Source organism: Homo sapiens, chromosome 12 (assembly GCF_000001405.40).
Source record: "Homo sapiens chromosome 12, GRCh38.p14 Primary Assembly".
Classification (NCBI taxonomy): Eukaryota; Metazoa; Chordata; class Mammalia; order Primates; family Hominidae; genus Homo; species Homo sapiens.
In genome coordinates, this window is record NC_000012.12 from 57,150,594 (window position 1) to 57,172,940 (window position 22,347).

Consider the following 22,347-nt stretch of genomic DNA (forward strand, 5'->3'; position numbering starts at 1 on the left):
CTAGAGTCAGGAGGCCACAGGGCTCTGGCTGGAGGCACAGAGGGCGACTTGGTGGAAAAGGTGGGAAAGGATGGGTTCAGGGAGGGGAGGACATGGTGGGAACCGCAGCCCCCATGTGGGGAGTGTTTATCATGCACCAGGCCTCATGCTAAGTGCAGTTAGTGTACCATCCAGTTTTACAAATGAGGAAACAGAGACTCAGAGGCATTAAGTAACTTGCTCATAGCCTCAGTTGGAAGGTGACAGAACCAGAATTCAAACTCAGGCTGTCAGTGTCTAGGGCCCAGTTGGACCCAGGGCAGAGCAGAATGATATGAGGAGAGGTGGGGAGGTTCCTGGAACAAGGGCCAGAATCTAGTGTGCTCCCTGGGGATGTGGATAGAGGTCCAGGGACCTCTTTGGATGTGTATACACTCTTGGGTGTGTAGATGTGTTGGGTGACATTTTCTCAGGACATAAAGGCTTCTTCCTTCCTTCCGATTTCCTTATTTTAGAGCAGGTGACTAGAATCCTGCAGCTGAAGCTAGAGTCTTTTTGGGCATGGGGTGGGTCCCATGTGTTTGGGAAAGCAGCCACCATGTATGGAAATGCCTCTTGAACAATGGGAATGATGGAGAAGTTGAGAAAAGCTGGAGTTGTAGTGAGTGCAGATGCTGAGCAGTGGGATGGGGTGCCAGGACACCAGGTCTATTCTGGGGCCTGGAACTGAAAGTCCTCTGTGCCATAATGGGCAGCTGTGGTCTCTCGTCTGACTCCTGCACCTCTTCCCTGCTTCCTAGCCTCCCTCTTCATGCTGGAATCCCCTGCCCCTCTGCCCCTAGACCACCCCCAACTCCTTCCACAACACAGCCTCCCTCTCTCCCCTTTGGTTTATTTGAGATTCTCCTGTCCTCAGGATTTTCGGCCTTTGGCCAGAGCCTCTTCAGAAGGTGCGCTCAGGTGGTTGGCCCTTAGAAGGCTGGGCGACAAGGGGACGGCTCCCCTCAGGGTTGGTGGAGCCAGAATGCTCAGGATCTCTGGGCTGAAGCCCAGGACTCCACCTGGACCCCAATTCATAAGACAGAGAGGGGTGGCCCAGATACTGCCTATAGGGCAGCCCTGGAGGCAAGGTTCCTCCTCTCCCTTTGAGCCCATCTCTCTACACTGGCCTTGGAGTGGTGGCCAAGTGTATGTGTGTGTGTGTGATTGTGCGTGCATTTGTGTGTGCATACGTGCGTATGTGCGTGTGTGTGTGGTGGGGCAGGCAGAGGAATCTGAACTTTAGGAGAGAGAAAAATAATGTGGTGCAGGGGGTTGGATAACAAAGGATTTTTGCTTGCAACTAATAGTCTCCAGCTGCAAAAATACCAAAGGGGAGGCCAGGCAGGCCGAGGACTCCAGTTCTTGCCAACTCCTCACCGGCCTGCTGAGTGGGGCCCTGCCTGGCCTTTGGGGAGGTGGAAGGGAGACCGGCCAAGGGTAAATATCTGAGAGCAGGGATGATCTCTCTGCCTTCCTTCCCGGAATTGGGAGGGAATCCAGGCCACATCCTGAGGCTGGGGGGGCTGATTGTGGAGCTGCACCTGGGATAGCGGCATCAGATCTCTGCAGGTTTCTTCCTTCTCTCTCTTGCCAAGAGAAGGGTGGATAGGGGGAGCAGGGGCAGGGTATTGCCAGCCCTAGGGCTGGGCAGTGACTCAGGGAAGCCTCAGGAAGTCGGAGAGAAGGCCGGCCGTAGCTGCGCCAGCTGGTGCTGGGAAAACAGCTTTCACTGATGAAGTTCATACACATGCCAGCAGCCCCCAGACCCCTGCCGTGCCCACCAAGTAAAGGGCACGCAGCCCTGTTTGACTTCCAGCCACCCTGCTGGCTGCCAGGGGATGCAGGCAGGTCCCTGCTTTGAGACTTCGATTTCCTTTGGAGGCAGCCCAGCAGCATTCATTTGAATCTGTTTTCTCTGTGGTTACAGCGTGTGGGGCAAAGAATTTGGTTGCCTTACCCCTGCACTAGGCCCTCTTCCTACAGGGCCTTGGCCTCCTCAAGCTACTCTTCCCCCTCTCTCCAATCTTGTGAGGATGGGACAGTACTGGGGGCCCAGAGGAAAGAGTGGCTGGGCTTGGGGATGCATGAATACTTACGGGGGTAATACCTCGTCTCTGTGGCCTTGTTCTCCAGGCATTGGGATGGGATTTAGCAGAGAGGACCTGAAGAAGAAACTAGTTTGATGAAGCCCTCAGTTGGCTCCTTCCCTTCCTGTCCTGTGACTCTGAGTCAGTGTCAGGGCCCAGCCAAGTTCCTTGAGAGCGGCGTTCCTGTTCTTTTTGCCCCCACCCCACCCTCACCCACTGTTAGGGAGCAGCCCCTGAATCCCTGTGGGGAGGAGGGGGAATTAGGGAGGGGTCAAGCAGAACAGCAAGTCATTATACCTGTAGCTGTGTGGGGGCAGAAGAATCCCTACTGGGTTGAGTATGGGTAATGGAGGATGAGTTTCAGCCCAAAGCAGGTAGCCCAAAGATTTCTTTACTTGTTGGGGAAACTGTTGGAGATGGAGTTCCAGGCAGGGGTCCCAGAAAGTCACTGCCTTAGGAGTTTCCCAGTTTGCAAGAGGCACCATCTCTGATGGTGGTAGTTGAAGGGGGTAGTGAGTAGATGGAAGGAAGCCAGTGGTCCTGGAGAGGAGGAGCCCAGAGGAGGCCAGCATGTGTCCCTGTCCCCAGACTTCCTGCCTCCTTGACTTCCGGCCACCCTTGCCCTGCCTCTCTTTCCTTTGGCTCTTCTTGGCTTCTTCCATCTCCTCCAGAACCATGCCTGAAACTGAGTCTAGGCAGCTGGGCTCCATCTCCTTCCCCCACTCCCATCATCCTTAAGCCCCATCTCTTTCTGAGCCATGCCTCAGTTTGCCCTGAGGATTCTTTCATGGCCCTCCTCCTAGACTCTCTCTCCTCCAGCCCTATGACTTATTCCCCACCTCTTCTGACCCTCCCCAGGACATGAGGACATTGAGCAATAAGGACATTGCAGGAACAGGGGACTGGGGCTGAGTAGAGGAAGTTTGGCCCATGTCACTGGTGCCCAACCTTTTGCCCCCATGGATCTTCCCTTTGGCATCTCTGTAGAGTTCATATTTTGAAATACTTTTCTCCCAAACTGGGTTTATTAGCGTGTACCCTGCTTTTCCACTTTAAAAATTTATGCCATATGTCCAGCTTCCAGTCAGTGCTTCTGGTTAGCATGAGATAACTAGATTTACTGTAGATGGTAGATAAAAGTCCAGTGAAAAGCAAAGATGTGTAATGTTTTGGTAGCCTCAGTGCTCTTATCCCAAGTAAAAGCAAAGTTAAAAAAAAAAAAAAACTGGACTGAGCTAGTGGACCTGTGCTCTCTACCTTTTGGTGCCCCAAGAAGATGGTCCCTTTTCAAGGATGGGCTAGAATTGGGAAGTCTGTCAGTCAACCAGCCAGCCAGCATTTACGCAAGCCCTCCTGTATATCCACTCTGAGCTAAGCATGGGGGTGTTGGGTGGGAGGGCGTCCAGAGAAGGTGGGCTTCCAGGTGTGGGTTCTCACCAGCAAAGGGTGGGCATCTCTGCAAGAGGGCCTACCCCACCCCATGGCTCTTTCATTCGTACTCTCCAGACGTGGAACAGATGGCCATCGACTGGCTGACAGGCAACTTCTACTTTGTGGATGACATCGATGATAGGATCTTTGTCTGCAACAGAAATGGGGACACATGTGTCACATTGCTAGACCTGGAACTCTACAACCCCAAGGGCATTGCCCTGGACCCTGCCATGGGGTGAGAGTGGCAGGCGGGGTTCTGGCCCTGGAAGGTGGGAGGCTGAGGCTACAGTGGTAAGGAGGGTGCCCAATGTCCAGACCCCATTTAACATGCATCTTCCCACAGGAAGGTGTTTTTCACTGACTATGGGCAGATCCCAAAGGTGGAACGCTGTGACATGGATGGGCAGAACCGCACCAAGCTCGTCGACAGCAAGATTGTGTTTCCTCATGGCATCACGCTGGACCTGGTCAGCCGCCTTGTCTACTGGGCAGATGCCTATCTGGACTATATTGAAGTGGTGGACTATGAGGGCAAGGGCCGCCAGACCATCATCCAGGGCATCCTGGTGAGGGAGCTACTGTCTGAGGTTTTGTGGGGGAACCATGATCCAGGGCCTTCTGGTGAGGGGGGAAGCCTCTGTAGGGGAACCGTTCTCTGAGTCTCCTGGTAAAGAGCGTGGATGCCCCAGGCCTCTAGTGGGAGTGGGGTGGGCTTGAATACTGCAGAGAAAGGACAAGATACGGGTTCCACTGTGATGGGAACAGTCATTTTAGAAACACCACTTCTGTTTACTTCCTGTTTCTCATTTGACCCTTATAATAACCCCTAGCTGATGAACAGGGAGGTGGTTCAGTTCCCTTTCAGCAGATGAAAAAGCAGGATCAAAGAGGTTAGGTGATTTGCCTGTGTTTACAAAGCCGGGTGATAGCACTGGAACTTGTTCTAGAAGCCTTGCTGGCTCAGAGGTGGCATCTCCATTGTGGGATAATTAGTGTGAGCAACCAGCCCAGTTTGCCTAGGACTGTCCCAGTTTTAGCCCTGAAAGTCTGGTAAGCCAGCAAACCCTTACCTTTGTCTTAGGCAAACTAGGACAGTTGGCCACCGCAGATAAGCTATGTGGGTAGTCAGGGGTGTTACAGGACTTGCTTGGGGCAAGTGTGTCCTCTTAGCCCTCATAACAGACTAAGAATGTCCTCTGTGGACAGAGTTTAGAGCCCATCTCTAATTCAGTCTAAAATCACTAAAGTGTCTAACGAGTGCCTAATTCTGTGAAGGACAGGGTTTCTGCCCTCAAGGGGTCTGAGTAGAGTGGGTGAGATAAGTCCACAAATCACTGTGCCAGACACGGATAGATAGCAGTGTCACGGAGGATGTATAGAAGGAGAAAACATCTCTGGTTAGAAGATTCCATAAATTCTTTAAAGACATGCTCTGTAGAGGATGAGTGGGATCTTGGTAAGCAAAAATCTTCAGAATAGGTTAGTCCAGCCAGAGGAGACAGGAGTAAAGCATTGAGTTAAAAAATGGTGGGGCCAGGCACGGTAGCCCACACCTGTAATCCCAGCACTTTGGGAGGCTGAGGCAGGAGAAGTGCTTGAGCCTCGGAGGTCGAGACCAGCCTGAGCAACATAGGGAAACCCCATCTCTACACAAAATTTGTTTTAATTAGCCAGGTGTGGTGGTATGTTCCTGTAGTCCCAACTACTCAGGAGGCTGAAGCAGGAGGGCCGCTTAAGCCCAGGAGGTGGAGACTGCAGTGAGCCGTGATCGTGCCATTGCACTTCAGCCTGGGTGACAGAGTGAGGTCCCGTCTCAAAATAAATAAATAAAAATTAAAAACTACAGGATGAATTGGGGAATGCAGGTCATGAAGTCTGGAGGAAGCTGAGGGGATCTCCAGGACAGAGGGAGGAACCCCTGTCATCTCATGCTGTCCATTCTTGCCTGCCCGTCTCAGATTGAGCACCTGTACGGCCTGACTGTGTTTGAGAATTATCTCTATGCCACCAACTCGGACAATGCCAATGCCCAGCAGAAGACGAGTGTGATCCGTGTGAACCGCTTTAACAGCACCGAGTACCAGGTTGTCACCCGGGTGGACAAGGGTGGTGCCCTCCACATCTACCACCAGAGGCGTCAGCCCCGAGGTGAGCAGGGCTCCATGGCCCCTCCAAAGCTGGCTTTACCCCATGATGGCTCTGGGACCTTGGGATCACAGCCCCTCTCTGGGCCCTCCTGTGGGGACCCTGGCTTCTTTCATGTCATGACCGATTCTCCTAGCCAGCCACTCGGGCTACCTGCCCTGGCCCCTCAGCTTCCCCTGCCAGCCCCCATCCACCCACTCAGCCTCCAGATCCCACTCTGTCCCTCCCATTCCCCTTGCCAGTCTGGAGCAGTAGCACCTGGCCATGGGCAACCCTGGAACTCTCTTCCCTGACTACTGAAGCCCCCACTCCAAGAGTTTGAAGGCTGGGTTGTTGGGGGGCAGAGGGTTTCCACCCCTGTGGCTTCCAAATCCTAAAATGGGATAGCAAGCACAAAGACCACAGCAGCAGGGGGTGTGGTCAGATTCAGGAAGCCTTCTCAAGGCCTGGCACAGGGGCTCTGAGGGGTCCTAACAGCTCTTCACCCTGCCCCCAGTGAGGAGCCATGCCTGTGAAAACGACCAGTATGGGAAGCCGGGTGGCTGCTCTGACATCTGCCTGCTGGCCAACAGCCACAAGGCGCGGACCTGCCGCTGCCGTTCCGGCTTCAGCCTGGGCAGTGACGGGAAGTCATGCAAGAGTGAGTGACAGGGAAGGGGGTGTGTGCCCATTGGGAGGCTGCGGGAGGGTTCCTCAGGTGTCCCCCACAGCCCGGCTGCCTCTGTCTGACATGCAGGGAGATGAAGGAAGTGTCCCAGAGTGTACCTGCTAGTGAGGGCAGAGATGGGACTTGAATCCATATTCGAAAAAAGTGCTTTTCTCACTCACCCACCGGACTCTGCAGAAAACTAAACTGATTCATTCAGCAAGTGTCTAGTGAGCAGTGAGCACTCACTACATGTTTGGCACTGTTCTGGTCATCAGGATTAAGCAGCGAACGAGATAGATGTTGTCCCTGGCCTCATGGAGCTTATAGTCTAGTTGGGGAAACAAATAAATGTAACTTTAGGTGGTAATAAGTGGTTATGAAGAAAATAAAACAGAGAATAGTCAGGCGTGGTGGCTTATGCCTGTAATCTCAGCACTTTGGGAGGCCGAGGCAGGCAGATCACTTGAGGTGAGGCGTTCCACACCAGGCTGGCCAACATGGTGAAACCCCGTCTCTACTGAAAATACAAAAATTAGCTGGGTGTGATGGTGCGTGCCTATAATCCCAGCTATTGGGGAGGCTGAGACAGGAGAATCACTTGAACCTGGGAGGTGGAGGTTGCAGTGAGCTGAGATGGCGCTACCACACTCCAGCCTGGATGACAGAGCGAGACTTCATCTCAAAAAATTAAAAATAAATGAATAAATAAAGCAGAGAATAGAGTTAATGAGGAGAGCAAGGGCCTCTCTGAGGATGTGGTGTTTGAGCCAAGCTCTCTGTGAAATGAAGAGGGCAACCATGTAACTCCCTGAGGGAGGAGCATGTCCGGCAGAGGAAATCAACAGTGCAAAGGCCCTGAGGCCAGTGTGAGTGTGGCAAGCCAGAGGAACAGCACGAAGGCCAGCGGGGCTGAGTGGTGTGAGGGCAGAGAAGGAGGCAGGGGTTGGATTTTATTATATCTGGGATAGGAAGCTCATAGTGACTTTTGAGAATGGAAGTGACATGATTGGATTCACATTTGTATAAAAGTCACGCTGCTACTGGGTGGGGGATGGGCAGTAGGGAAGTAGCCAGAAGACTTTCAGTGTAGTGGGCAAGAAGTGATGTGGTTTACACTAGGATGGCAGCAGAGGAAGTGGTAAACAGTGATGTGACTCCAACATATTTTGAAGGTACTCCTTTTATACCACTGATTTCATGACTGATCAGTGGGCACTTAGCTGAAAACCTGCTATTCTTCCCTCATTTCCTACCCTTGGAGTGCAGAGGTCAGACCCCAGGGTATTGCGGCCAGGACCCATCGTCCTGTATGTTAGCGTGTGCGTGGTCTGTCCATCTGACCCAGAGCCTCGCATCCCTAACGTCTCCTGACCCATCACAGCTAGGGCATTGCAGCCCCTTGGCCGCAGCCCCTGGGTGGGGATGATGGTCATGTGTGTGTCTGACTGTACCCTGGCTTGTGCCTGCTCTAGAGCCGGAGCATGAGCTGTTCCTCGTGTATGGCAAGGGCCGGCCAGGCATCATCCGGGGCATGGATATGGGGGCCAAGGTCCCGGATGAGCACATGATCCCCATTGAAAACCTCATGAACCCCCGAGCCCTGGACTTCCACGCTGAGACCGGCTTCATCTACTTTGCCGACACCACCAGCTACCTCATTGGCCGCCAGAAGATTGATGGCACTGAGCGGGAGACCATCCTGAAGGACGGTATGGGCTCCTAGGGATGTGGCCCATGGGGATGGAAGGGGGCTGGGGCCCAGGCATCTGTTTCTCGGTGCCCTCTCAGCAGGATGGTCCCCTGCTGACTGGCTGGCTGCACTGGTTGGCATGGAGATGAGGGGATAGACAGATTGACCCCTGTGTGACCCCCTTCTTGGCTGAGCCAAAGAGGCAGGGTTAGGATGGGTTAGGCAGCATGGGCCGTCCTTGCCAGCCCTTGGGAAAACTCAGGGTCTGTCTGCATTGGCTTAGAGCCCTGGAGCTGCACACAGCACACAGCCAGGGGACAACTGAGGTCTTGAATTGGAGACAGGCCTGCCAGATCAAAACAGGGCACACCCACATGTATGTGCGCACACAGGGTCTGTGCAGCTGACCTTGCAGTCGCCAAAAACTGCATGCTAATGTGTCCTGAGAAAATTGTGTTTTGTGAGTTGCATCCAGGTCTTCCCTCTGAGCTGCTTGGGCAGGTTCACAGTGCATTGTCTTTTTAATGTCTATGTGAAGGATTCTGAGCTGTACGAGTTCTGCCCCAAATCTGCACTTGGGCCTCAGGATCAGGCCGCCTCCCCATCAATCTGGTGGATGCCAGTTATAACCTTTGCCCTGCACCCCATCCACACTGTAGTTCAGAGAAAATCAACAGTCAGCAATCATATCACAAGACTTTGGGGAAATCAAAAGTAACTCATCAGGAAAAGATTAGGGGTCCCTATACCAAGGGAACTGCTATTTAAAGGACACTTGGAGTGAAGGCTTTGGCTAAGTGAAAAATCACTTCCTAATTTATTCATTTTGTTAGTTCAGGATTTTTAGGCCTAGGATATGATGTCACACTTGTGCCCAGAGCCACATGCCCGTTGTTTCAGCTCTCCATGCAGGCACGGGCCAGATGCCCTCACACGAGAGCCCACATCAGCCATGTAGTTTACCATCTGCCACGTGTGGTTTTGAGAGGCTAGCCCTGATACAAATGGCAGCACACAGGGCTTTCCCCTATTCCTTTTCCAGCCTCCTGTCCCTACCCCCACCCATCTGTCTAGGGCCCCAGAGGGTCCCTGCACCCCTCTGTAGCCCAGACTGCTCAAAGGTACCTGAGTCCGGGAGGGCCAGAGGCAGGCAGCTTTGAACTTCCTTTGAAGCTGTTCATCACTGGTCCCTCTTCCCCCAACAGGCATCCACAATGTGGAGGGTGTGGCCGTGGACTGGATGGGAGACAATCTGTACTGGACGGACGATGGGCCCAAAAAGACAATCAGCGTGGCCAGGCTGGAGAAAGCTGCTCAGACCCGCAAGACTTTAATCGAGGGCAAAATGACACACCCCAGGGCTATTGTGGTGGATCCACTCAATGGGTGAGTCCTCCCAGGCCTTGGGGTGGGAGGAGCTGGGAGTGTGTGGGCCTCAGATAACTGGAGGATGAAATGGACAGGGAAGCAGGGGAAGGCAGGTGAGGCGGGATACTTTAGCAGGAATGAGAGTCTGCAAGGGGAGAAGGAGTCCCTGTCTTCAGGGAAATGGGAGTGATTCCTTAAACATAGAAGAAATCTGATCCTGTCACTCCCAGTTCAGGGCCTTCCACCAGCTCCCCTTACCCTGAGAATGAGGCCCACGTTCTTGTCAGGCCTGCACAGCCCCACAGTGTCTGCCTGGCCCTTGTCTGACCTCATCTGCATCCCGCTTCCCACACTTGAAGTTCTGTCCCCACTGCCTGCTGTCTGTTTCTCAAACAAGCACCCCGGCTCCTCCTGCCTCAGGGCTTTTGCTCTTGGAGTTCCTCAGCCTGGAACTCCCAGATATTTGCCGGACTGGCTTCTTCTCTACATCAAGTCTCACTCATGCCACCTCCTCATGGTGGCCTTCTCCATCACTCCCCTGACACCCCCACCTGCAGCCCGGTCACTCTCCACCCCATCACCCTGCTTTATTTCCCTCCTGGCCTTTATCGCTCTCCATGTAACCTTGATTGACCTGTTTCTTGTGGGATGGGAGCTCCGTGGGAGCAGGGACCTTGGCTGCCTTGGTCTCCACTGCATCCATGAATGCCAAAACTGTGCCCAACTTACAGGCACTCAACAAATATTTGTTGAATGGAGTGAATGAATGAAATGTGTGGTCCAGTGATGAGCAGGACAGGAGACCCCTGTGAGGAGCTCTGGGACAGCACTCATGGATTGGGATCACAGGGGAGGCTGTTGATGGCGGGGGTGCCCAGGTGATGCTGACCAGTCGCTGCCCACAGGTGGATGTACTGGACAGACTGGGAGGAGGACCCCAAGGACAGTCGGCGTGGGCGGCTGGAGAGGGCGTGGATGGATGGCTCACACCGAGACATCTTTGTCACCTCCAAGACAGTGCTTTGGCCCAATGGGCTAAGCCTGGACATCCCGGCTGGGCGCCTCTACTGGGTGGATGCCTTCTACGACCGCATCGAGACGATACTGCTCAATGGCACAGACCGGAAGGTGGGCAGGCATGTGCCTGTGTGGGGGAATCTGTGTGTGTTGCTAGACCATGCTTGGGCGTGGATGAGGTTCTGTGTGAGTATGTGGGTATCTGTGTGTGTCCAGGCCTGTGTGCCTCTATAGATGTGTGCATCTATTTTTCTGTGCATCTATAGATGTGTACATCTGTGAGCTTGCATGTCTTATGTATTGTGTTGTTTGTTTGAGGATTGCCTCCATTTGCGTCTCTTTGTGTCTATTCGTGTTGTCTGTGAAGTTGACTGTCCATGTGCCAGTCTCTGCATACACACCATGTGCGCCTCCTCATGTGTGTGCATAGATACACGGCATGCCTTGGTGTGTGTCTGCACTCTCTGCAAGTGTGAGGGCCTAGGGACGGCATATCTCTACACTTGGTCATTTGGGTTGTCATGTGCTTCACGAGTCATGTACGTGTTCTAGTATATAAGGCCCTTCATGATATGGCCCCTGACCCCCTCTCTGGTCTCTTTTCTCCCCACTTCCTTCATCCCAACACTCTTTGAACAAGCAGCACTAGACAGCTTGCTCCTCCCAGCACACGTCACAGAGCATCTGCCCTCTGTGCCATTACTCATGCAGTTCATTCCACATGGAATGTTCACCCCAGCTCCTCTTCCCCTGGCAGACTGCTCAGGGGCTACCTCCCCTAGGATGTCATCTCCAGACCCCTCTTCACACTGGATCACCCGTATGTGCCCTATCTGAGACAGTGGGAAGCTCAAGGGCAGAGATCGTGTCGTTTTCACCTCTTACTACCTACTACAGCTCAGCCCCTAACAGATCCTGGTAAATGTTGAAGAAATGAATGGATGAATACTGCCCGTCTGCTCATTAGTGTGTGTGTGTGCGCGCACGCATATGAGTGTGTGTGTGTGTGTGTGCACGTATGTGTGCGTGTGTGTGTTTGGGGACTATGAATGAATAGGAATGAGCCCAGGAGAGGACCATATGGACAACCTCACCATCAGCATCCTTGCTGGATCACTCGATCACCCGCTGGCTTCAGGATCTACCATCCCACTGTGTGCAAAACTATCACTCTCTGGGGCTCCCAGGCTAATGGGGGAAACAAAGCAAAACCCATGCCCAGGACATAGACAAATGAATGTACAAAACAGTGATCTCACAGGCCTCCCTCAATTTTCTTCCAACTCCTTAGTAACATCCTCTCCATCCCTAGATTGTGTATGAAGGTCCTGAGCTGAACCACGCCTTTGGCCTGTGTCACCATGGCAACTACCTCTTCTGGACTGAGTATCGGAGTGGCAGTGTCTACCGCTTGGAACGGGGTGTAGGAGGCGCACCCCCCACTGTGACCCTTCTGCGCAGTGAGCGGCCCCCCATCTTTGAGATCCGAATGTATGATGCCCAGCAGCAGCAAGGTACCTCCTTGGGGCTGGGGGCAGCGTGGGACCTGGAAGGGGTGGTGGGACTTAGGCATTGATTTGAGACTTCCCTGGGAGTGAAGGCACTTCCCAGGGATCCTAGGCTCTGACTTTTGAGGATCCTGAGAAGAGAACTCCCCCAACACAATCTGATTCTCTGTTCCCCATTTCCCTTCCTGCCCCATGTCTGTGTCTCCTGTTCTTCAACATGATCTTCTTCCTCTCCATATTTCCTCTTTCTGTCCCCACATCTTAATGTGTCTCCTCCCCTATCCCTTCTCTGACCTCTCCTCACCTCTTCCTCCCTTTGCCTTTCCCCATGGCCCTTCCCCACAGTTGGCACCAACAAATGCCGGGTGAACAATGGCGGCTGCAGCAGCCTGTGCTTGGCCACCCCTGGGAGCCGCCAGTGCGCCTGTGCTGAGGACCAGGTGTTGGACGCAGACGGCGTCACTTGCTTGGGTATGAGGTGCCTGGCTGGGTGGGAGTGGGAAGCAGACCCCATCAGGAGGATGCCGAAGAGTGGGGAGGGGAGGATCCAGGGTCCCAGTCAGAGATTAAGGAGGCAATGAGGGGCCCTTAGGGGGCCAACAGGAAGCAAGGGAGGGGGAGAGCAAAGGCTCTGGGGGCTAGGAGGGAGTTTAGGGAAGATGGGAGGCTGGGAGGGACTTGTGAGGGGATGGCAATTAGGGGAAACTGAGTGAAGAATGGACAGCTATGGATGGAAGGAGGAAATTATCCTTCACTTCTTTTAAATGTATTTCTCCATTACTAAAGTAAAATAATAAATAGTTCCAAATATTGGAAATTACTTTGGGAGGCCAAGGCAGGCTGATCACTTGAGGTCAAGAGTTTAAGACCAGCCTGGTCAACAAGGCAAAACCCCATCTCTACTAAAAATACAAAAATTAGCCAAGCGTGGTGGCAGGTGCCTGTAATCCTAGCTACTCGGGAGGCTGAGGCAGGAGAATCACTTGAAGCCCGGAGGCAAAGGTTGCAGTGGGCCGAAATCATGCCACTGCACTCCAGCCTAGGCGACAGATGGAGACTCTGTCTCAAAAAAAAAAAAAATTAACATTAAAAAATACATATAATATATATGTTGGAAATTAGAGAGGAGAAAAAAGCCCAAATCCCACCAGTGAGCACCATATATTGTTAGCATTGTGGTAAAGTGAACACCATTCTTTTTTCCTCAGGGGGGTTATAATTGTTTTTTACATAGCTGTAATCATCTGTTTATAAAATGTCTTCTGCCCTTTTCGGTTCAAGTGTCACAGCATTTTCTGTGTTGTTATTGCATGATTTTAACAAGCCTTGTTTTTTATTCAAAATGGGTTGTGTTCATTGTAAAACGGAGTAAGTAAGGCCGGGCACAGTGGCTCACACCTGTAATCCCAGCACTTTGGGAGCCCAAGGCGGGTGAATCACTTGAGGTCAGGAGTTCGAGACCAGCCTGGCCAACATGGTGAAACCCCGTTTCTACTAAAAACACAAAAATTAGCCAGGCATGGTGTCACACGCCTGTAGTCCCAGCTATTTGGGAGGCTGAGGCAGGAGAATCGCTTGAACCTGGGAAGCGGAGGTTGCAGTGAGCCGAGATTGTGCCACTGCACTCCAGCCTGGCGACAGAGCAAGACATCATCTCAAAAAGCAAAACAAAACAATGAAATAAGTAAACAGTATAGAAAAACACAAAGGAGAAAGCCCAAATCATCCCAGATTCCACCACCTGTAGATAACCACTGTTACCATTTGGGGGAACCACCTCCCAAATGTTTCCCTATGATTTACTTTCACATAAATGGAGTCGTGCTGCACATACTGTTCTGTTTCCTGCTTTTGTCACTTGACAGTATGTAACGAGTACATAAGCAGCATTTTTAATGGCTAAAATATATTTCATTTGATAAATTTCACGTAATTTACTCAACCGTTTCTCTACTGTTGGATGTTTAGGTTGTTTCCAGTTTTTTGATATAATCACAACCCATGTTTGTTGAGCATGGACTGTGTGCTCAGCACTGTCATGGACATTTCCCTTGCAGTAATTTGTTTACCCCTAAAAACATCCTGGTGGGAAAAGTGGTTTTATTATCCCCATTTTACAGATGAAAAAACTGAGGCCCAAAGTTAGAGCAGGATTTAAACCCATGAAGTTTGACCCAGAGCCTGTTTTGTAATCATGCCTCTGCTATTTGTCACATCATCATGCCTGCCCATATTCTGGATGGTTTCCTTAGGATAGAATCCCGGAAGTGAAAATGGGTCAGTGCAGCCATAGTGTACACCTAGGAGGGAGTGGCTGGGGTCAGGAGAGGGCGTTGGCTGAGAGGGTTAAGGAATGGAGGGGCCAAGGTAATGGGAGGATCATCCACATGGAAGTTGAAGTCACCAAGAACTGAACCAGGAGTGATTTTGGAGAAAGTGCTGGTGAGCCAGGAGCTAAAAACCCTTACAGATGACAGGGTGCAGCCTGGGAGCCTTCCAGAAGTAGAGGTTGGTACAGAAGCATGATGTAAGGGGAAGAACAGTCCAGGGAACAGCAGTGAGGAGCAAGGAGGACACATACCAGCCTCCAGGTCCATGGTCCATGGGATACGGGAGGGGAAATCGCCACCCATGGGGCCATGGGAAGTTTCAGAGATTAGAGAGGGGTGGGAGATGAGTCAGACCAGGCAAGCGCCCAGCTGTGAGGTCTGGAGACCGGGCTCACACAGGAGCCTGCACTTGTGGAGGTTACCAAGGCACAGACAAAGGACGTCGTGATTTAGCTGCTAATGGGCCAAGACAGATAGTGATGGTGAGGCATACGTTCTGGGGACAGGATGGGTGGAGCCTGCGCGGATGTGGTGCCATCTTCACTTCTGCTGGTGGGACCGATGAAACTGTGAAATAAAAAGTCCAGGGACCGGGGCAGGGCCCTGGGGTTCCCGGAGATGACTTCCAAGGGGAAGTTCATGGAGAAGTCAGGGAAGGAGTGGGGAGAGCCTGTTCGGTGGTGACAGAGGTATAGAGGCCATGGGCTCTCTTGGACACCATTTGATTCTCAGGTCACACTGAAGTACAGTAAGCATTAAGTAGAGTAAACATCACTATTGTTGCTTGGGAAAGAATTGCAGTTTCCATCCAGATAATTTGTTTCATGAGGAATTTTGTACTAGAAAAAATTACTTTGTATTATTAAAAAATAGTAAAACAAACAAAAATGGTGCAAAGGGCTTAGTACTTGTCCCACGACCGGGGTCTGACTTTCCCCCTCACGATCCTGTGGTGCCCACAGCGAACCCATCCTACGTGCCTCCACCCCAGTGCCAGCCAGGCGAGTTTGCCTGTGCCAACAGCCGCTGCATCCAGGAGCGCTGGAAGTGTGACGGAGACAACGATTGCCTGGACAACAGTGATGAGGCCCCAGCCCTCTGCCGTGAGTCACACGCCCTGCCCCACCCTGTTGGATGGCAGGCCTGCAGGGCAGCTCGGCTCTGGCAGTGCCTATACTGGAGCGGGCAGGAAGCTGGGGGCACCCAACTTCTCGCTGACCCCTGACTCATTCCCTCCCCAGATCAGCACACCTGCCCCTCGGACCGATTCAAGTGCGAGAACAACCGGTGCATCCCCAACCGCTGGCTCTGCGACGGGGACAATGACTGTGGGAACAGTGAAGATGAGTCCAATGCCACTTGTTCAGGTGTGGAGCGGGGCTCAGATCACACGAGGCACCCCTCAGTCAAGGAGGCAGGGGAGACGAGGGGGCCAGGTTCAGTGGCTCATGCCTATAATCTCAGCACTTTGGGAGGCCAAGGTGAGAGGATCACTTGAGCCCAGGAGCTCAAGACCAGCCTGGCCAACATAGTGAGACCTCCCACTCTTTACAAAAAAAATTTAAAAAAACTGCCGGGCGTGGTGGCGTGCACCTCTAGTCCCAGCTACTTGAGAGGCTGAGGTGGGAGGATCACTTGAGCCTGGGAGGTTGAGGCTGCAGTGAGCCATGGTCATGCCACTGCTCTCCAGCCTAGACAACAGAGCGAGACCTGTCTCTAAAAATAAAATGAAAGGAGCAAAAGAATTTAGGGCAGAGGGGATGGAGCCCTGAGCAGGAGTGGGGTCTGCTATCCCCTTCCCAGCCTGGGAAACTGAGAGGGCTGAGCTTGCAGGGGACAGAGCATAGCTCTAGACTGGAGAGGAGGAACAAGGCAGGGTAGATCTCCTCCTGGGAGGATACCAGAGACCCCTTGAGAGAAAGAGTAAAGCATCCAGTGAGACCAGAGAGATGGTTTTGAATTCTCTAAGAGAAATGGTTTTGGATCCTTGGAAATAAGGGACACCAAAGGCAGAGAATAATAGGGAAGAAGAGGCAGTGAAGAGAGGGTCAGGACAATGAGTACTCACACCCATCCCTGCCCCCCAGCCCGCACCTGCCCCCCCAACCAGTTCTCCTGTGCCAGTGGCCGCTGCATCCCCATCTCCTGGACGTGTGATCTGGATGACGACTGTGGGGACCGCTCTGATGAGTCTGCTTCGTGTGGTAAGAGGGATGGGCAGAGGGAGTCAGGCTGGGCCTGGGGGAGGGGCATCCTGAGAGCATGCCAGTTGGGGGTGCCGGAGACACCTGCAACCCAGCACTTGGGTGGCCTTGAGTGAGTTAATCTCGGTGGCCTCTGTGAGAGGAGAGCCCCATCATCACAGCATTGTGTCTCAGCAAACTCATGCAGGAAAAGCACTCAGCACAGGTCCTGTGTCTGCTGACTCATGGGGATGAGTGAGTGGAGTTTCCAGCCGAGGCACTGCTGCGGGGCCTTCCCCACCCTTCCTGACTGGGCTAAGGGCTGCTGGTTATGGGAGGGCCGCTGCACTCACCTGCCCAGTACTGTGATGCTGTGTAATCGTGAAGGCCCTACTCAGCTACTCTTTCTTCCTCACAGCCTATCCCACCTGCTTCCCCCTGACTCAGTTTACCTGCAACAATGGCAGATGTATCAACATCAACTGGAGATGCGACAATGGTAAGAGCTTGCTCTCCTCACCTGCTGATTCCTAAGACAGCTAGAGGCTACAGCCAGGCCCTCCAGGGAAGGCAAAGGGCTTCAGAATCCAGCAGGGCCTCCCTCCAGGACACTGAATCCCTGCTGGGTTGCCTGGGAGAAAACAGGAGAAGTCAGAAATGCCTGGAGGGAGCCACGATGGACCAAGGGGAGACCATCACCTTTTAGTGTCATTCCTACCCCAGGCAGGGCCTGAGCTGCCCACCCTCTAGTAGGGCTCGGAGGCCAGGGAGAGATGAGTGAGATGGGCCAGAGAGGCAGAGCAAGGAGAAACCGGTGCCTGACTCCTTTCTCCTTGCAAACCCCCATTTCCTGGAGTCCTTGGTGCACCCCTCAGGCTCTGGGCTTCAGGCTCAGAAGCCCACCTGGCAGATAGCCATGGACCAGGTGATGTCAGCCTTGAGCCACCAGGGCTAGTATGTGTGTAAATGTGCGGGCAGGTGACTGCCGTGTGTGGTGTCTCAGGGCTCTGTTCTGTCTGTGTTGTGTTGTGACGTGCTGCCCCAGTGGTTCCTGTCCCAGCTGATGTGTGAGCGGATGTGTTGGGTCAGTGCCACGTTGCCCCTCACTTTTTCTGTGTCTCGCATGCCAATGGTTGCCCCGGCGGTTTCTGTGTTTCAGAGAAGGATTGTGGGGACGGCTCTGACGAACAGACCTGTCCTGAGCCTGCCGGTCAGTGCATAGAAGCACATGCACCATCACCCAGAGCTCAGCTGGCCCCAGCCCCCTGCAGGTTCTCCAGGCCCCTACTCCAGAGCTGCTAGGATATGAAGAAAAAGCAACAGAGAGGAGGGAGAGCAGAAAACAGAGGGAGAAAGCAAATAGTGGTCAGGAAAGAAGCAGAGACGGCAGAGGGAGCCTCTGAGGAAAGGAGATGACAGAGAGGTGGTGACAAAAAGCCCAAGATGCAAGGGGAGGAGAGAGTTAGAGAAGCAAATCCAGTTGGAAAAGAGGCAGGAACATAACCCAAACCCCAGTCTCCACCACATGTCCCATAAATACAGAGGGTCAAGTCAAGCAGCCCCCACCCAATGCTGAGAAAGCAGGAGCTTCCTTCAGCCAGCCTCAGCGAGCTTGGTCCAGAAGTGGCCCCCACTCTTGCCAGCCACAGGCAGGGCCCCTGTAAGCCAGGCACCCAGAGCATGGTATTCAGCAGTGCCAGCCTCAGGGCAGGCCTGTAAAGCTTGTCTCAAGCCGGCCACGCCTGCACCCCACCTACCTCTCTCCCTCCAAAACTAGAGAAACCCCTGCCTTTCCCCCAAAAGCAAGCAGACCCCTGTTCCCACACCTGCCAGAAAGGGGAAATGAAATGTTTAATGTTCCCTGCACCCAGCCTTTCTGAGCTTCAGTGAGGGGCCCTCCAGGAGCCTTCTCCTCCTCCTCATCCTGACCACGTGGGCCATGGTGCATGCTGCAGTCTATGCAGTTTCTGTGTCTTTTCTGTTTGTTATTTTCCCAGTGGGGGGGTTAGGGTGGGCTGAGGGTGGGTTCTGGGCAGGGGGCCCAAGCTGGGATCACAGAGAAGGCTGCTCCACCAACTCCCGCTTTGCCTCTCCCCTTCTTCCCCCACCGCCAGACAATGACTGTGGGGACAACAGTGACGAAGCCGGCTGCAGCCACTCCTGTTCTAGCACCCAGTTCAAGTGCAACAGCGGGCGTTGCATCCCCGAGCACTGGACCTGCGATGGGGACAATGACTGCGGAGACTACAGTGATGAGACACACGCCAACTGCACCAACCAGGGTGGGCACCAGGGGCCCGTGGGGTGGGGATGAGATCGAGCCCCCTGCATCAGACACCCAGCCTATCCATCTGTCTTTCAGACCCACGGTGTGTCGGCCACCATCTGGGAGCCAGAGGTAGCCTAGGCATGGCTCTTGTCCTTCAGGAGCTCCCGGTCCTGTGGGAGAGGGAGGTTGCCGAAAAATCATTGCCACACGCTGTTAATATCATGCGCTTTGCAGTTGGTGGCCTTGGGTTTGAGCTCCAGCTCTGCAGCTTATTATCTGGGTGGCCTTGAGCAAGTTACTTAATCTCCATGGGCCTCTGTGAGTTTCGTCTGCAAAGTGGGGTAATAATAGCACCAACATCACAGCGCTGATGTGGGAGTTTAGTGAGATCACGCACGAAAAGTGCTCAGCACACGGCCTGTGTTTGGTAAATAGTAGCTTGAGAAAAGGATGCTGCAGGCAGGGATGAATGAGCCTGAAGAGACAGAGGAGAGAGGGCCTGGCTCCACAAGGCTCCCAGTGCCCTGGCCTCTGGGGCCCAGCCTCGGGGGCGGTGGGGACCTAGTTTTCTGGAGGGATGGGCCCTCTCAAGGAATGCTGGCTTCCTAGCTCTGGAAGATGTGCAGATTTTTATGTGAAAACTACCAAATTTTTAACACTACAGTATTAGTTTCTCTCGTCTCACAGTTCTGGAGGCTGGAAGTCCCAGACCCAACTGTTGGCAGGGTGGGTTCCTTCTGAGGCCGTGTGGGAGATTCTGTCCCAGGCCTCTCCCCAGCCTCCGCGGTTTGCTGGCAATCTTTGCAGCTCCTTGGCTTGTCGAAGCTTGACCCGATCTCTGCCTTCATCTTCACACGGTGTCCTCCCTGTGGGCATGTCTGTCACCAGATCCCCATTTCCCCTTTCTGTGAGGACACCTGTCATATTGGATTAGGATACACCCTTATGACCTCATCTTAAGTTGACCATCTGCAAAGACACTATTTCCAAATAAAGTCATATTCACAGGTATTATGGGATAGGACTAATATCTTTTTAGGGAACACAATTCAAGCCATACCAACTGGCAGTTGATTTTAGAAGTTTTAAAAGGCTGGGTGCAGGCCAGGCATGGTGGCTCATGCCTATAATCCCAGCACTCTGGGAGGGTGAAGTGGGAGGATCACTTGAGGCCAGGGGTTCAAGACCAACCTGGTTAACATAGGGAGAACCCATCTTGAAAAAAGAAAAGAAAAAAAAAAAAGGCTGGGTGTGTTGACTCACACCTGTAATCCTATCACTTTGGGAGGCAAGGCAGGAGGATCACTTGTTTCCAGGAGTTTAAGACCAGCCTGGGCAACATAGTGAGACCCCTTTCTCTACAAAAAATAAACAAAATTAGCTGGGCATGGAGGCACATGCCTGTAGTCCCAGCTACTCAGAAGGCTGAGGTGAGAGGTTGAGCCCAGGAGGTTGAGGCTGCAGTGAGCTGTGAGCTCGCCACTGCACTCCAGCCTGGGTGACAGAATAAGACCTTGTCTCAAAAGAAAAAAAAAGTTTAAAAAAAACTACAGACCAAACTCTTCCTGCAGGCCTCATCTGACCCATGGACCACTAGATTACAGCCTCTGCCTTATAGAGTTAGGGCACATTCCCACCCTAGTAGGAGAAGACTGGACAGCGTTGAGTGCCCACCTTGAGCCCTGCCCTGAGAGGGAGGACAGAGAAGGCCACAGGAAGCTTGGGAAATAGTAATTGCGTCTCCAGGGCTATCTCTGTGAAGGGGAGGGTGAGGGGCACAGGTGATATCCCTTAGGGTTCTGAGAAGGGGCCTCTGGAGGCTGTGTGGTGTGGTGAGAAGAGCTCCCTGCCGCTCCCAGATAAGCTGGGCAAATTTGGACAAGTTGCTTCCCCTGAGCCTGGGCATCCTCCTTTATGAAATGAGCTGAGGTATGTGAGGCCTGGCGTGGAGGAGCAGGGTGTCACTATTGGTAGCAGTTGTTAACTATGGTATGAGCTGGATGGTCTGGGACCATTCAGGAGGAGTTGTGTTTAGACTGCAGGTAAATGGACAGGAGGGAGGGTCTTCCAGTGGGGATGGCATGGTCCGGAGAATGCTGTCGTCAAGACTTAGAGGGTGAAACTGAGCACTTCCGTAGGGTGACAGTGGGGCCAGGTGGAGCCGTTCAGACCGAGGGAAAGGCTCGTGCAGGGACAGTGGGGAATGAGGCTGTCCTCAAAGGGGGCAGATGATGACAGCAGGTGTAAATCGTGAGAGGCTTGATTTGGGAGGCACTGGGAACCTTTGAAGGATTTCCAAGCCGGAAGGTGCTGTGATGTAGGAGGTGATTTCGGAACACAGCCCTAGAGGAAGATTAGATTGAGAAGAGGTTCAGGGGCCCCAAGAAAGGAAAATCAGTTCAGAGACTGCTGCTGAAAGTCCCGGCATGAGATGAGAGCATCAGCTGGGTCCAGGGTAGGGAAGGGGGAGGAGCGGGGTGTCTGTGGCAGCATGAGTGTATGAGTGTGGGGCTCCACCAGGCAGTGCTCCTGCTCCTCTCCTGGCCTCCTGAGTCAGATCTCAGGACAGCAGCCAGAGTGATCCTGACAACATAAGTCAGATCATGCCCTGGCCCTGCCCTCCAGCCTGTACTGGCTCCCTGCACCCTTGGAACAAATGCCAAGCCCCTCTGCACGGCCTGCAGGGCCCCCACCCCTACCCCTCTGACCTGCATTCCTGCCCTCCCCTCCCCCTGCACTCTACTCCAGCTGTGGCGTTTTCTTTTTTCTTTTTTTTTTTTTTTGAGATGGAGTCTCCCTCTGTCGCTCAGGCTGGAGTACAGTGGCGTGATCTCGGCTCACTGCAAGCTCTGCCTCCCGGGCAGCTGTGGCGTTTTCTTTTCTTTCTTTTTTTTTTGAGATGGAGTCTCTCTGTCGCCCAGGCTGGAGTGCAGTGGCGCAATCTCAGCTCACTGCAAGCTCCGCCTCCCAGTTCACGCCATTCTCCTGCCTCAGCCTCCCAAGTAGCTGGGACTACAGGTGCCTGCCACCACGCCTGGCTAATTTTTTGTATTTTTAGTAGAGACAGGGTTTCACCATGTTAGCCAGGATGGTCTCGATCTCCCGACCTCGTGATCCGCCCGCCTTGGCATCCCAAAGTGCTGGGATTACAGGCGTGAGCCACCGCGCCTGGCCTGTGTGCTGTTTTCTGAAGTGCTGGCGTAGTCCTATCTCGGAGATGAGACTTTGCAGCGGCTGTTCCCCTTGCCTGGAGTGTGCCTCCAGGGATCCTCTGGGCTCACTCGCTCTTCATGCAGGCCTCTGCTCAGATTCCTTCTGCCCAGAGGTCTTCCCTGACCATCTTACCTGACAGATCACCCCCATCCCTCTCAGCTTCTACCCAGCTTTATCTCCATAGCTTTATCAATACCTGAAATTACAGTCTAGATTTATGGGTTATGTCTTGTCTCTCTTCCCCATTAGAACCTAAGCTCCATGAGGGTAGGGACTTTGTCTGGTTCAGTGCTGGCCCCAGGACAGCGCCTGGCACACAGGAGGCACTCAGTAAACATTTGTGGCATGAATGAATGAAATAGAGGCTAAGGAGGTGGGCATTTGGGCTCAGGCCTTAGCAAATTGCTTCTCCAGCTGAGATCTCCGGTGTCAA

General features: G+C 53.1%; 1 protein-coding gene across 1 annotated transcript in view, besides 1 other annotated feature; it reads left to right on the forward strand.

Moving 5' to 3' along the window:
* The window catches only part of LRP1 (LDL receptor related protein 1), an 84,879-nt gene that overhangs the window by 22,111 nt on the left and 40,421 nt on the right, over window positions 1-22,347 (forward strand). The window contains exons 7-20 of the mRNA NM_002332.3: window positions 3,615-3,777; window positions 3,886-4,108; window positions 5,501-5,690; window positions 6,184-6,327; window positions 7,809-8,045; window positions 9,232-9,412; window positions 10,300-10,522; window positions 11,724-11,925; window positions 12,265-12,390; window positions 15,212-15,352; window positions 15,491-15,616; window positions 16,337-16,453; window positions 16,851-16,931; window positions 18,547-18,714. Coding sequence (NP_002323.2) covers window positions 3,615-3,777; window positions 3,886-4,108; window positions 5,501-5,690; window positions 6,184-6,327; window positions 7,809-8,045; window positions 9,232-9,412; window positions 10,300-10,522; window positions 11,724-11,925; window positions 12,265-12,390; window positions 15,212-15,352; window positions 15,491-15,616; window positions 16,337-16,453; window positions 16,851-16,931; window positions 18,547-18,714 — 2,322 coding nt within the window. The remainder of the gene's footprint in view (window positions 1-3,614; window positions 3,778-3,885; window positions 4,109-5,500; window positions 5,691-6,183; window positions 6,328-7,808; window positions 8,046-9,231; window positions 9,413-10,299; window positions 10,523-11,723; window positions 11,926-12,264; window positions 12,391-15,211; window positions 15,353-15,490; window positions 15,617-16,336; window positions 16,454-16,850; window positions 16,932-18,546; window positions 18,715-22,347) is intronic.
* Window positions 16,453-16,747: an enhancer, noted in NCBI's record as "tiled region #9665; K562 Activating DNase unmatched - State 8:EnhW". NCBI's record gives its function as "activates a minimal TATA promoter and a strong SV40 promoter by Sharpr-MPRA in K562 cells {active_cell/tissue: K562}" and the evidence as "EXISTENCE:reporter gene assay evidence [ECO:0000049][PMID:27701403]".